Below are 13,899 nucleotides of genomic sequence, written 5' to 3'. Positions count from 1 at the left end.
AATTCTGTGGTACAGTATCTAAGTTTCTGGGTTATCTTGCTGCTCTTTATCCTGTTCTTTTATTTCACATTTTACATCCTAATTTGTAATTCTATTTTCCTTTTCTGAACCTATTTCTCATACTTTGGCTCTAATCTGGCTGTACACCTCCACTCACTATACATGTGTGTCAGCATAACAGTTTATGTTATACTGCTAATCTAAGATCCCAGACTTTAGAGTTGGACAGACTTGTGTTTAACTCCCTTCTCTAGACTCTACTACCTGTATGACTTGGGGCATTTTATTTTTCTCAAGGCCTCAGGTTTCTCAACTATTAAAAAGGTGATATATGTTTCTAATAGGTGTGTTGTAAGGAAATGAGTGAGATCATATGTGAAGTCCCTGGCGTAGTCCTAGCATAAAATAAGGACTTAATACAAAGAACAATATTATCATTATTAATATCCTCCTGCTGTTAGCCACTGCTGTATGCATGCCCAATGATTTTTTACCACTAGGGCTAGTATAAAATGGTCTAAAGACTGAGGATGAAAGTTTTGGCGGCCAACAAAGACAGCTGAATTAGTTAGATAAGGCATGGGATAGGCTGGCTGGGATGAGCCAAAGTGAGCCAAAGACAGTTGAGAAATTTAGACGTCTAGAATGCAACAACATATTTTATTGTATTATCCAAGGACTTATAACTGTGATATAATTTCTTATTATTTAACTCACCTAAGTTCAGCTGTGAGATCCTTTATAGTAGTGTATTTTTCCTCTAATGATAATTGAGCCTTCTGTAGTACATCTCTCAATTCCTGGAGTTGTCTTAAAGTACTTTTTAATTCTCCATGAGCATTTTGTAGTTCAGTCTCAAGTACTTCCCGTTTTTGCAAGGCTTCTGTTAGTTCAGTTTCAGTACTGTGCTGTAACTTTTCTAACTCCTTTACTATTAAGAGGAGAGAATAATTTTATAACTATATGTAAACCATTTATTACAAACTTTGTATATATTAAGAATATTCAATTATATTCATCTACGAGAGGCAAAATACCACTTATTTTCCCTTCCAGCCCCACCATCTCAAATTCTCACATTATTTCACTTCGTTAAGTACAAATACATAGGCAGCTATACTCATCTAACCACTTGCTTACCAGCATTTGTTTTCTTTTCTAGCTCTGTCTTTGTCTGATCTAAGATCATATCTAATTGAGAGAGGTGCATTGCTTTATTTTCTCCATCTCGTTTTAGGTGCATTATTTCCTTTTCCATTTTAGACAGCTCTTCTTTGTACTGATCCATCTCAATCTTTACTTGCCTAATTAAAAACAAATAATAAAACAGGTAATTTAGAAACTTAACCAACTAACTTGTCTCTGACTAAAAAAAAAGCCTGCAAGTTATATAAGGACAAATATCAGCAAAATATCTAGTTGGAATTTTAAATCACCTATTTTTAAAAATTCTCCAACTAAAAACTATTCCTTTACACATTACATACCACTAAATACAACTTTACTACTACTACCTGGTAATATTTAACAAGCCTAGCATTCTTTTCACTCTAACCACATTTAACTTTAGCTTTGCATGTATTGAAAATATCCAAGGACCTCATTCATCTAGGAATTTTTGTTATTAGCAACAAAGAAAATAAATAAGCCAAACAATCAAATTATTCACCATAAAAACCATATTACTCACTGGAGAGCCAAGTCAATTGCTTTTACTCAGTTTTATTATTGGTTCTATCCTTTTTTTAGCTTTAAAAGGAACTAGAGATTCCTAGACTAGTGCAACTTCCCTGCTTTACAGAGGAGGAAACTGAAGACTAGGTGAGTTGTCTGAGATAATACAACTAGCTGTTAATAGTGATAGGGCCAGGTTTACTAACTTTGTCAGTCCTGAACTTATTCTAATACGGCAGCTCCCCTACAGACAAATCAACATACTAAGAGCCAGTTTTAAGTCCCTTTGTTGGTAATTCTAAAGTGATATTTACTAATTAAACAATTGTTAATGTTACCCTCAATGGTAGGAAGAGTTCATGTTCCTTTGTGTCAACACTTTCTGTTGTTTGATCTTTGAAATTTCTAAATTGAGTTTGCAAGTAGGAGCATTTCTTTTCTAGATAAAACTTCAACAAATTTGGATTTGTTCAAGAGTTTTTTAATTGGAAGTCCATGAGTAAACTTAAGGAAAACTATAAAACCCCTGAAACAGTATGCAAAATTATACATGTATAATGTACATGTATACATCTATGTATAGAAGACAAGCTAAAGCTTTTTACCAGATCCTCAAATATGTCCATAGACCAATTAAGTACTAGATTAGATGAGTGCTAATGACACTTTTACATTTCTAAAATCCCAAGTAAATAATTTTTAGCTTGACCAATTAGCTCTAATATTAAAGTAGATATAAAACAGATAATTAGAAAAGAATAATCAAAAGAGATTGGCATAGAGCCATGAGCAGATGGCTTGTCAGCAAAGGAGTTAGGGGAAAATTATAGAAAATATACAAGGACTCAAAAAGCATTAGCAGCCTACAGACATTTTATAAAAAACAGAACTGTATATGCCTCAAAGTTTCATTAGGGTATCACTACATTTTAGCATGATGTATATAATGATAACCCTGAGATACCCAGAGAAAGTAAAAACCCCAAGAAAATATACATTTTAGAAAATTTCTACCAAAAAATGTTATTTGGTTTTGATTTAAATTTTCAGCACAAGATAAATTCCATGGGAGTAAGTGGCTGAGGTATGTTAAAGATCAGGATCACTAGAGTACAGAAATTGTTAAAAATGAGAAGCCAAGGTGTCAGAAGGATCAGCTTCAGAGGTGTACTGAAATCCCCAAGAAGAATGACAGAAGTGATGCTGGAGAGGGCAACAGTAAGTCAGGCCGTCTAAAGAAATCAGCACCAGTAAGGGTTCTGATGGCATGAGGTTCACCAAGTATAGTATATACTTCACACCTTGCCTGGACCCTGTGGTACAAGAGCTATGGGGAAAAGTTTTTTACTTTAGAAGGCTACAGGGGAAGAAGCAATGTCCTTAGGGGAGGGCCAGGTTTCTATTACAGCAAGAGAAAAGAAAAAGTAGTGAATACAGAGAATGGATTATGAAGTTCAAAAGGCACAGTAGAAGTCTTTCAGAAGTTGGGATGGGGTTGGAGAAAGAAACAGAATGTGTGGAGAGTTTTTTGGGAATTAGTGTGAGATATGAGAGCTGACCTGGAAATCTAGGGTTTCTTGTGGTATCTGGCATAAACAAGGATAAAGTGATAATGCAGTCAGTCTTCACAGACTCAAGGTGGACACCAGTGGTGAGGCCATGTTAGTGAGTAGAACATCTGTCAATGGAAGAAAGAAGGTGTGAAATACTTTGGTCTTAGTCTTAAACTTGGGAAGCCCTCAACCCTGCTGAGAGGGTGACAGACATCTGAGGAAGCAAGTTGCTCCTCTGAGCACAAAGGACCCCTGTCAATGGAGGAGAGGGAACCTGGGGACATGTGGTTTTAGTGCCAGTGCCTAAGTTCACTCTTGACTCCTGTTGGTAGAAGGGTGGGCTGATTATGTTATAAATTATGTCAATTCTTCCCAACAAAGTAGAAGAGATCTGAAGAGGCTGGGTACTGCTTTCAGCTCATGGGTTCCTTTCTTGACCAATTAAGTATCGATGCCTGGGACCAGCCTAGCCAAATTAAATCAGAATCTTTAGGTTTTATTTAATCTAAAAGTGGGACCCAGTCATCAGTATGTTTTTTTACAAGCTCTTGAGGTGATTTTAATATTCACTCAAGGCTGAGAACCACTTTTATATTGTCATTCTTCCCCTATATAATTGGATTGCCTGAAAGTTTCCTCTATGTGAGTACATTTACATTTTTGCCTACAACTTTTAATGTTATTCACAATTAACAGTTGCTGAGTGCCTATGAGGTATAAGGAACTGTGCCAGTTGTTGTGTAAGACCCTAAAATAAACCAGGTATGATCCTTGCCTTAAGAAACTTATAGTAGGAAGGTTAAAAGCATTAAACTGTAATACAGTAAAAAGCATAATGAGAGATATGAAGGAAATACAAACAAAATGCAATAGGAACACAGACTATGGAGACATTAATTCCTCAAGCAAATGCTCCACTGAACATTATCTGATTTCAAAACTCAGATACCACTGATATTGAAGTGGGAAGGTAAATAAAACATATTCACATTTTACCTGGCAGTGCCAGTAAGCTCAATCACTTTTTGCCTTTTCAAATCTGCTTCATGTGCAGCTGATTCACATTTCTCCTCCATTTTTCTCAACTTTTCAGCTGAACTTTCCCTTTGTTTTTGAAGTTCTTGTTCCAGTTTTGACACCTTGTAAAGCAGTTTTCAGTAAACATTTTAAATTCAGAAGAAAAATACTTTTATAAATATGTAACCTAGCTTATCAGTTTCAAGATGTATCATAAAAATCAACATATAGACCAAGAAGTAATGTTTGGAAAATATAAAAAGCAAGGCTTACTTTCTAATAATAAAGATACTTCACATACATATTACTATTTAGGGAAGTGGCCACATCATAACACTAAAGTGTTAAAATAATTGAACAAAATGATAGTAAATATTCCCCTTTTCATTGTCCCCATTTGAAATGCCCTTTCTTCTCTTACCATACTGCTCCTTTCTTTTCTTCACGAATTGGCTCACTCAATAGATTCCTAGATTTCCACATGACCTCAAATGCTAATTTGCATTTGCTCCCATCTTAACTTGAATCTGTTCCTATTCATTCTTCCTCTATTCTACTACAATAAAGGAGGTATTCTTCCTCCTTTATATAAATCAAACTGCTTCATAGGTGTTGTGGATTCAATTCCTATTCATTTTTTCAGGAACTTCATACTACTATCTCCTCTTTCCAATATCTTCAGTCTCTCTACTGTTTTTTTAATATTAGCATTTAAACATGTTAAAAGACTTTCCCACTGTAAAAAGCTTTTCTTCAGACCTTGACCTCCCTCTACCTACTACCCTTTATTTCCTCCCATATATAGCCCAACTTCTCAAAGTTTTCTATGCATGTTGTATCACTGTCTCACTTCTCATTCTTCAACCCATAGCCAGAGGCCATTCCACAGAAACAGGGATTACAACACCAGTGACTTCCAAGTTGCTAATTCCAATGGACATTTCCCAACCTTCATTTTACTTGACACTGATTCCAGTAGCCCATGACAGCAACATTCATTCCTTCCTTAATGAAATACTTACTTTGGCTTCCATGTATCACATCCCTCAGGGATCTGTCCAAGTCAATCTTCTTGCTTCTCATTCTATATTCTCTCCCTAGGTAATTTCAGTCACTCCATGTCTTCATGAATATTTATATGACTGTGGTCTCAAAGTTAACCTCTCAACTCTGACCTGCATATCCCCCGTTCTTCTAAAATCCCTCACTGAAGAACTAAATATAGATCATAAACCATTAATATCTTGCCAGGTGCGGTGGTTCACACCTATAATCCCAGCACTTTGGGAGGCCAAGGAGGGTGGATTTCTTAAGCCCAAGAGTTCGAGACCAGCCTGGGCAACATGGTGAAACTCTGTCTCTACCAAAAAAAAAAAAAAGAAAAAAAAAGAAAAGCCACACACACACACACACACACACACACACACACACACTCTTAGCTGGGCATGGTGGTATGCACTTGGAAGGCAGAAGTGGGAAAATCACCTGAGCCCAGGGAAGTTGAGGCTGCACTGAGCCATGATCATGTCACTGCACTCCAGCCTGGGTGACAAAGTAAGACCCGGTCTCAAAACAAAACAAAACAAGAAAACCCCATTAATATCCACCCCTCCACCTCAAGTTTCAAGAAGAAAATTAAAACAGTACCCAGGTAAAAAGGGAAAGGAACCAAGGAAAATCCACCTACTCAATTCTTAATTAAATAGAGAAATCTGAAGATGCAAAATGGAACCTATGCACAGTGTAATATGAATGAAAGGCAGAAAAGGAATACCAAGTCAAAAATTTACTCCAAATACTGAAGAAATTTTTAGATATAAACTTCTGTAGACCTCAGTGAAGCTAATGAGAACACAAAATCTTTTAAAACAAGATCACAAAGAAAATCACCAAATAAAAAATACAAATGAGGCCAGGCGCAGTGGCTCACGCCTGTAATCCCAGCACTTTGGGAGGCTGAGGTGGGCGAATCACAAGATCAAGAGATCAAGACCATCCTGGCCAACATGGTGAAACCCCGCCTCTACTAAAAAAACAAAAATTAGCTGGATGTGGTGGTGCGCACCTGTAGTCCCAGCTACTCGGGAGGCTGAGGCAGGAGAATCACTTGAACCTGGGAGACAGAGGTTGCAGTGAGCCAAGATCGCACCACTGCACTCCAGCCTGGCGACACAGTGAGACTACGTCTCAAAAAGAGAAAAAAAAGAAAAAAAAGTGAACTTGTTAAAAAAAAACAAAACAAAACAGAAAAAACCATACAACCATTATAGAAGTGAGTTAGGAACAAGAATCATAATCAATCCTGCAAGAACCAGAGTCAATGACAAAGGATGTAGGCAGTGGGAATCAAACATAGATGAGAAGAAGAAATGCTTCAGGATGAAGCTGTATAGTAGGCATAGCAAGCAGTAGGTCTAAATTTTAACAAAAGGGATGGAGAGTCACAGGAAGATGTCTCTTGAAAAAAAATAGAGGCCAGGAGCAGTGGCTCACGCCTGTAATCCCAGCACTTTGGGAGGCCCAAGTGGGTGGATCACCAGAGAAGGGAGTTTGAGACGAGCCTGACCAACATGGAGAAACCCTGTCTCTACTAAAAATACAAAATTAGCTGGGTGTGGTGGCACATGCCTGTAATCCCAGCTACTCAGGTCGCTGAGGTGGGAGAATCGCTTGAACCCGGGAGGCGGAGGTTGCAGTGAGCTGAGATCGCGCCATTGCACTCCAGCCTGGGTGACAAGAGTGAAACTCCGTCTCAAAAAAAAAATACAGAATACCTGCCTGATGTGTTTAAATGTAGTGAGAGGAAGATACTTTAGTTCCACTGGACAGGCTGAGGAGGACTTCAGAACAAGTAGATAAAAGACCGAAAAAATGACAAAAAAGGAAAATACAGTAAGATTACAGGGGACGATCATTTTCTAATTTACACATTACTGTAAATTTGATTTCTTTTCAAAGAAAAAACAAAATAAGAATGTAAAATATCTAAAGAATTCAGATAAATTCAGTAATGAATTAAAGGAAAAAGATTAGATTCTAGTATAAAATTCTCTAGAATTCTTACATTCAAGTAAGTAATAATTTTTAATTTTAGAACTTTCAGGGGTATTTTCCCTTGGGATTTTTCTTTTAGTGCACTGCTTTGCCATTTCTTTAAGGAATATCACATACCATGTCCTGATCCAAAAAGGAAAAATTATAGGTATTCAGATTAGGTACAAGAAGAGAGATTGAATAAAGAAACATGAATTATAAATTGTATGGAACAGCAAACATATAATCATGGTATAAGAGATGGAGGTCAGATTACATAGGAATAGAACTTTATTTTACAATATCAGTATAGAGTATTTCTTATAATGCAAAATCCTTGAGGTTTAACAGCAATTTTTTTTTTTTTAGGCGGAGTCTCACTCTGTCGCCCAGGCTGGAGTGCAAGGGCACGATTGCAGCTCACTGCAACCTCCACCTCTTGGGTTCAAGCAATTCTTGTGTCTCAGCCTCCTCAGTAGCTGGGGTTACAGGCATGTGCCACAATGCCTGGCTAAGTTTTGTATTTTTAGTAGAGACGAGGTTTGGCCATGTTGGCCAGGCTCGTCTCGAACTCCTGACCTCAGGTGATCCGCCTGCCTCAGCCTCCCAAAGTGCTGGAATTATGGGCACGAGCCACGGCATCTGGCCAAACAGCAATTTAAAAAACTAACGAAAAATCTATTCATGATTTTAAAAATTTCTATTTCATACAAATAAAACAATCTTGGGCTAATAATATATACCTGTTTTTCAAGTTTAGTTTGAGTATCTTCTAGCTCTCCATTTCTAATTGTCTCTTGTTGTAACATTTGCTGCTGTTGCTGAAGAGTATGCTGTAGAATAACGTTTTGCTCAGAAGTCTCTTGAAGACTGTGATTTTTTATCTTTAGCTCTTTCTGTAAACAATATACCTGGCAAATATATATATATATCTCTCAATACAATGCAATGTTTCAAATAAATGGCAATAAAATGTCAAAGCTGTCCTCCTTATTAGATAACCATCCACTTGTCATGTGGGACAATTGCATTCATGTCTATAGTTTGTCATTGGAAGGACAGTATTCATTTTTCTAATGGGGAGATGTACTGGAAGGGCTTGCTTATAGGATTGCTCTTGGTTGGTGTCTGGAAATGTGGCTTTAAAAATGTTCCTAAGTGATGAGGTTGTTTTGCCTGGCTGGGGCACTGAAACATGCCTTCCTTTAGAATTCTGGAATTTTTGATACTTGTAGGCTGGTCATTGTTCCTGTGTGACAAGCCCCCAATAAAAACCCTGAACTTTGAGTCATAAATAGGCTTCCCTAGGCAGAAACAGATATTGCCACATTTTACTGCTATAAAAAGGAGCATGTTCTGTCTGACCTCTCCCAGAAGGAGGGAACAGCATAGGCAGCCATGGTTTTATCTGCACTTCACCTGATTCTTTCACCCTTTCTAATAATAAACTAGAGCCATAAAAGCACTATATGATGTTTGGTGCTATTTATTGTTATTGTTGCTATTATTGCTGTTGTTTATATAATAATATCCCAGCAAAGCACTGCTGAATATTTATGCTACAAAAAAACACATAAAGGAATGACAATAACAACTAAGAAATTTCACTAATTACTCTATATATTTAGGACTTGAATATGATGGTCTCCAAAATTGCTTTAAGATACTTTTATCCAAGAGCACCTATTAAGAAGAAAAATAAATTCCCTTTGTCCTAGTAATCCAAATTCTAAAAATATGCCAGCAGAAATTATTTTTAAAATACTATCAACAATGAAACATAATTTAAAATATATTTTATAATATTCTTCATCTCCTACCAAAGTGAATGGAAGATTTAATAAGTGATGATTGTCAATGTGATTTAAAATGTGCAACCATTTAAAATAATTAAAAAGACAGCTAACATAAAAATTTATAAAGTTAAAAAATCACATTTCATTAATATAATTTTGAAAAATATACATGCAAACAGAAAAATGAAAACTGAAGTATTAGAGAATGGGCTGTAGGTAAATGTTCTTTAGAAGTTTTCTTGTTGTTGCTTATATAATAAATTTTTTAAGTGAAGGAAAATAAAGCCATTCCTTTAAAGCAAAGAATCTTTCCAGTAAATATCATTCCAAAAGGAAATTTAAACTCCTTATAGTAAATAGCGGAAGAGAATCACGACTTGCTTCTTTTTTCTAACTATCCAGCAGGTGAACATTAAGGCCTTCAGGGCCAAATATTCTTTGCTCATTATGAGAAGCTCTGAGATTTCAGATTTCTTAATTATATGATGATGTTGTATACTCGAAGTAACCCTGGATATCACAGGCAACTAACTGATCTCTAATCCTGAATTATAATCCCTTTTCATGCAAATATGTTTTGTTTAATTCTGTCTGCATGAAAATAATTTAGTGTAAATATGTGTCAGTATCACCTGTTTTGTTTTCTCTCTTAGCTCCTGACCAAACCTGCAGATCACACTTCTGCACTGGTTTATTTTAGATAGAACTGACTTGCCTGCAAGACAGGTTTAAATACTCTTTTTTTCTTTATTGGAACATCCTGTTTCATACTTACCTATTCAGAGAAAAAAATGGACAAAATATTAAAATAAGACAAAACAGAAGAAAAAAATAAGATCTAACCAAAACACAAAGCCTTACCACATAATAACAACAAAATTTTATTTCAGTAATCTAGTCACTGACATTTCAATTACATATATTGAAATAGCTAAAATTAGTTATCACAAATATTTACAAAATAGAACATATATCTATCAAACTTACACTGACATTTCATTGTACTGACCTTTAACTCCAGTCGGCTTTAGTTTTTTGTTTTTTTTTTTGAGATGGAGTCTTCCTTTGCCACCCAGGCTGGAGTGCAGTGATGCGATCTCGGCTCACTGCAAGCTCCGCCTCCCAGGTTCACGCCATTCTCCTGCCTCAGCCTCCCAAGTAGCTGGGACTACAGGCGCCCACCACCACGCCCGGCTAATTTTTTTTTTTTTAATTTTAATAGAGATGGGGTTTCACCGTGTTAGATCTCCTGACCTTGTGATCTGCCTGCCTCAGCCTCCCAAAGTGTTGGGATTACAGGCATGAGCCACCGTGCCTGGCCAGTTGGCTTTAGTTTAAAAGTAAATACAGAACAAATTGTTTTTACATCATATTTTCTACTAATGTATTATTATATTCCCAGAGTACTTAATATTTTATAATTGAAGTAAATAAGAAAGTAGAATTTAGATGATAAAATCTACCTTACACTTAACTTTATCTAGTATCACTATGTACCCAAAGCAGAAAGTCTCATAATTGTTGCTTAAAAATAAAATATAATGCAGAAATATGATGCCAGCTTCTCAAAATCTAAGTCCATCCATTTAAATGAAGATATTTATCAATGAAACGACTGATTTTATTGAATAAAATCTTTATGCAGAAAACATTTAGGCTTAGTCGCATCTACTTTGTATTGAGTTTCTTTTATCATGTTGACAATGTAATTTTGCATGAACACATAACTTTATTATTTTAAAAGCATTGTTAAAAACATTTTAATATGAAATTAAATATCTTCCAAAAATTCAGAACCCCAAAGTATTATTTTCATCATAAATATATTTATTTCAACATCCGGAAAAGAATATGTGGCTGAGGCAAAAGCTCAGAGGAACATATATTAGCTTTTTGCAACGGGTAATCAACATGTAGTTTTTACAACTGGCTAAATTTCTACCTATATGCCCTAGGGCCACTTAATTATTCAGTGAGTTATATGATTGGGGCATATTCCCTGATTTAAAAGATAAGAACATCTTTATAATATCACCTATTATTAACGGAATGGATGCACTATTACTCAAATCAGATTTTCTAAAATGTAGCTATATATGATGAAAACTTCACAACTCTGCTGTTACAAGGTGTTAATTATATTAACCAACATTAGAAAGAATTTTCTCTGTAAGACATAATTTGCTGTAAAGGCAAATAAGTCAACAGTTAGTACTTGGATTCTTCTCCACGTTTTTTATCAATACACATGAACATGTGACAGATGACCTTTTAAGTAAGCAAGCCAATGCATGTGCAGTTGAGCTAAGGATTGAGCGGCAATAAATGAGCTTGCAAATCTTTCTAATTTACTTACTCCCTAGTCTGGTCAAATATACCTGATTACCACTTCTGGTTTCTAATTCAGTTTGAGCCTAGGTATGTATTTCCAGTTGTAAAAATCATTCTAAATGAGCCAGGTGTGGTGGCACATGCCTGTAATCCCAGCTGCTGGGAAGGCTGAGGCAGGAGAATTGCTTGAACCTGGGAGGCAGAGGTTGTAGTGAGCCGAGATTGCACCACTGCACTCCAGCCTGGGTGACAAAGCAAGACCCTGTCTCAAAAAAAGAAAAAAAAAATCGTTCTATTTATTTTGTGTGTAAATATCTGTTATCCACCCTAGTCTCTGATGTTGTTTCTATGAATGCAAAGTCTAAAGCTCAACAGATTCTCCTGTTACAAATGCTGCCTACCTCCAGGTAGATTCCATCTCTGCCAAGTCTATTTATTATGAAGCGGAGTGTGGGTATGGGCAGTAGAATAAATGCCAAAATAATGTATTTTGTATACTACTTTAAAGATGATCATAGTAAAAAAAAAAAAGGACATTCCTATTTTTAAAAATCCAAGTACATACAGTTTAGATGATTTAGTTTCTATGTATTGGAGTAGAAAAATATATGCCTGTCAAAGATGCTATAAAAACCTTCATAAGGGAAGGTAGACAGAAGAAGACATGACCGTATTAAATCTGAAGTTTTTTTTTTTTTTTTTAAACTTCTAAGGCTATATAATTACTTGATGCACCTAAGTCTGGAGTGCTGGTCAACTACATTATTTACTCTTAGATTTACCTATGGCTTTCCCCTGTTCTGCTCTGTGTATTGCAGGAAACTGCATTTCTTGGCCTCCTTTGCCCTCTAGATTACAAATAGGTTTGGCCAATGGGAATGGCCAGTAGCTGCAGTGCTCCTCCTCTATTGCCCCAGTTCCTATTGGACAGACCTTTTTTCTTTGGCCCCAGCTCCAGATAGGCAGCCCTGCTTCTAGACTATGATCACACCATCTTTTCCTGATGTTCCTCTAACCTTAACAATGGTAGCGGGTCCCTGCTTATAATAATCTCTGAGTCACTGTGGTATACTGTTTGGCTTCTCTACCCTTTCATCACCTGTGTATCTAATTCTCTGTATAAATTTGCTCTATTTAAAAGATATAAAGGCTTCTGTTTTTCTCATTGGACCTTTCTGATATAGTCAAATCGATCTTGACTAATATGTAAATATAAATAAATATATATATATATATATTTTTTTTTTTTTTTGAGATAGGGTCTCGCTGTGCTGCCCAGGCTGGAGTGCAGTGGCGTGATCACAGCTCACTGCAGCCTCGACCTCCTAGGCTCAAGTGATCCTCCCATCTCAGCTTCCTGAGTAGCTGGGACCACGGGTATGCACCACCATACCTGGCTAATGTTTTTAATTTTTTTGTAGAGATGGGGTTTTGCCCCATGTTGCCCAGGCTGGTCTTGAACTCCCGGCCTCAAGTGATCCACCCACTTTGGCCTCCCCAAGTGCTGGGCTTATAGGCGTGAGCAACAATGAGTGGCCAAAAGTCAACCTTGATGAAGATTCATTGGGAACGATTTCTAAAAATAAATTTTAACCTTAAAATATATACATTATAAATTCTAACAAATACATTCTTCATTACGATTATCCATTTGAGCAAATGTTTAGTGAGTGCCTAACCAAAGTAAAGTGCTACAAATTGAGCATACAGAGATGAGTAAGATGTTCAAGAAAAGTTTCCAAGTCTGGGTGCAGTGGCTCATGCCTGTAATCCCAACACTTTGGGAGGCCAAGGTGGCAGGATTGCCTGAGTTCAGGAGTTTGTGACCAGCCTGGGCAACATGGTGAAACCCCGTCTCTACTAAAAAAAAAAAAATACAAAAAATTAGCCGGGCGTGGCAGCATGCGCCTATAGTCCCAGCTACTCAGGGGGCTGAGGCAAGAAAATTGCTTGAACCCAGGAGGTGGAGGTTGCAGTGAGCCGAGCCTGGGCGACAGAGCAAGACTCCATCTCAAAAAAAAAAAAAAAAAAAAAAGGTTTCCAATGCAGTATCTGAGAAACTTATCTTAAAAAAGTTGAAATTCTAAAGTTAATTCTCAATCCTACAGACAACAAGAACAAAAACAAAATGAAAAATTCTTGAAGAATTTTAAACCTCTAAATCTAAAACAATGTTCAAGGTGTCATGTAATATTATATTAGAATGACTGTAATATTAATAATTTATTCTTCTGATTCCCTAAAAATAAAAGAATTAGAATTTTAAGGTATATTCTATTTTGCATTGAAATGTTTGCTCTTTAAAGAAAATAAAATTGGAATTTACATTTTATTGGAAATACTTTTTTATATCAGATACATAAAAGATATTATTTTGGCCAGGCACAGTGGCTCACACCTGTAATCCCAGCACTTTGGGAGGCCGAGGTGGGTGGATCACTTGAGGCCAGGAGTTCAAGGCCAGCCTGGCCAACATGGTGAAATCCCATCTTTAC

At 36.4% G+C, this 13,899-nt stretch overlaps 1 protein-coding gene across 40 annotated transcripts in view; it reads right to left on the bottom strand.

The window, feature by feature from the left end:
- Nucleotides 1-13,899, bottom strand: part of CCDC18 (coiled-coil domain containing 18) — a 98,818-nt gene that overhangs the window by 38,117 nt on the left and 46,802 nt on the right. For 39 of the 40 annotated variants that reach the window (XM_017001164.3, XM_017001162.3, XM_011541361.4 and 36 more), the window contains 4 exons: nt 8,021-8,188; nt 4,224-4,366; nt 1,141-1,304; nt 718-931 (listed from right to left, as the gene is read on the bottom strand). In XM_017001164.3, the coding sequence (XP_016856653.1) occupies nt 718-931; nt 1,141-1,304; nt 4,224-4,366; nt 8,021-8,188 (689 nt within the window). Of the gene's footprint in view, nt 1-717; nt 932-1,140; nt 1,305-3,233; nt 3,353-4,223; nt 4,367-8,020; nt 8,189-13,899 lie in introns of those variants that run through there. The other variant, XM_011541372.4, reaches the window with a different exon arrangement.

The sequence above is a fragment of the Homo sapiens genome, chromosome 1 (genome assembly GCF_000001405.40).
Source record: "Homo sapiens chromosome 1, GRCh38.p14 Primary Assembly".
NCBI classification, from domain to species: Eukaryota; Metazoa; Chordata; class Mammalia; order Primates; family Hominidae; genus Homo; species Homo sapiens.
The sequence above is the reverse complement of the archived record's forward strand: the minus strand, read 5'-3'. Positions and strand labels throughout refer to the sequence as shown.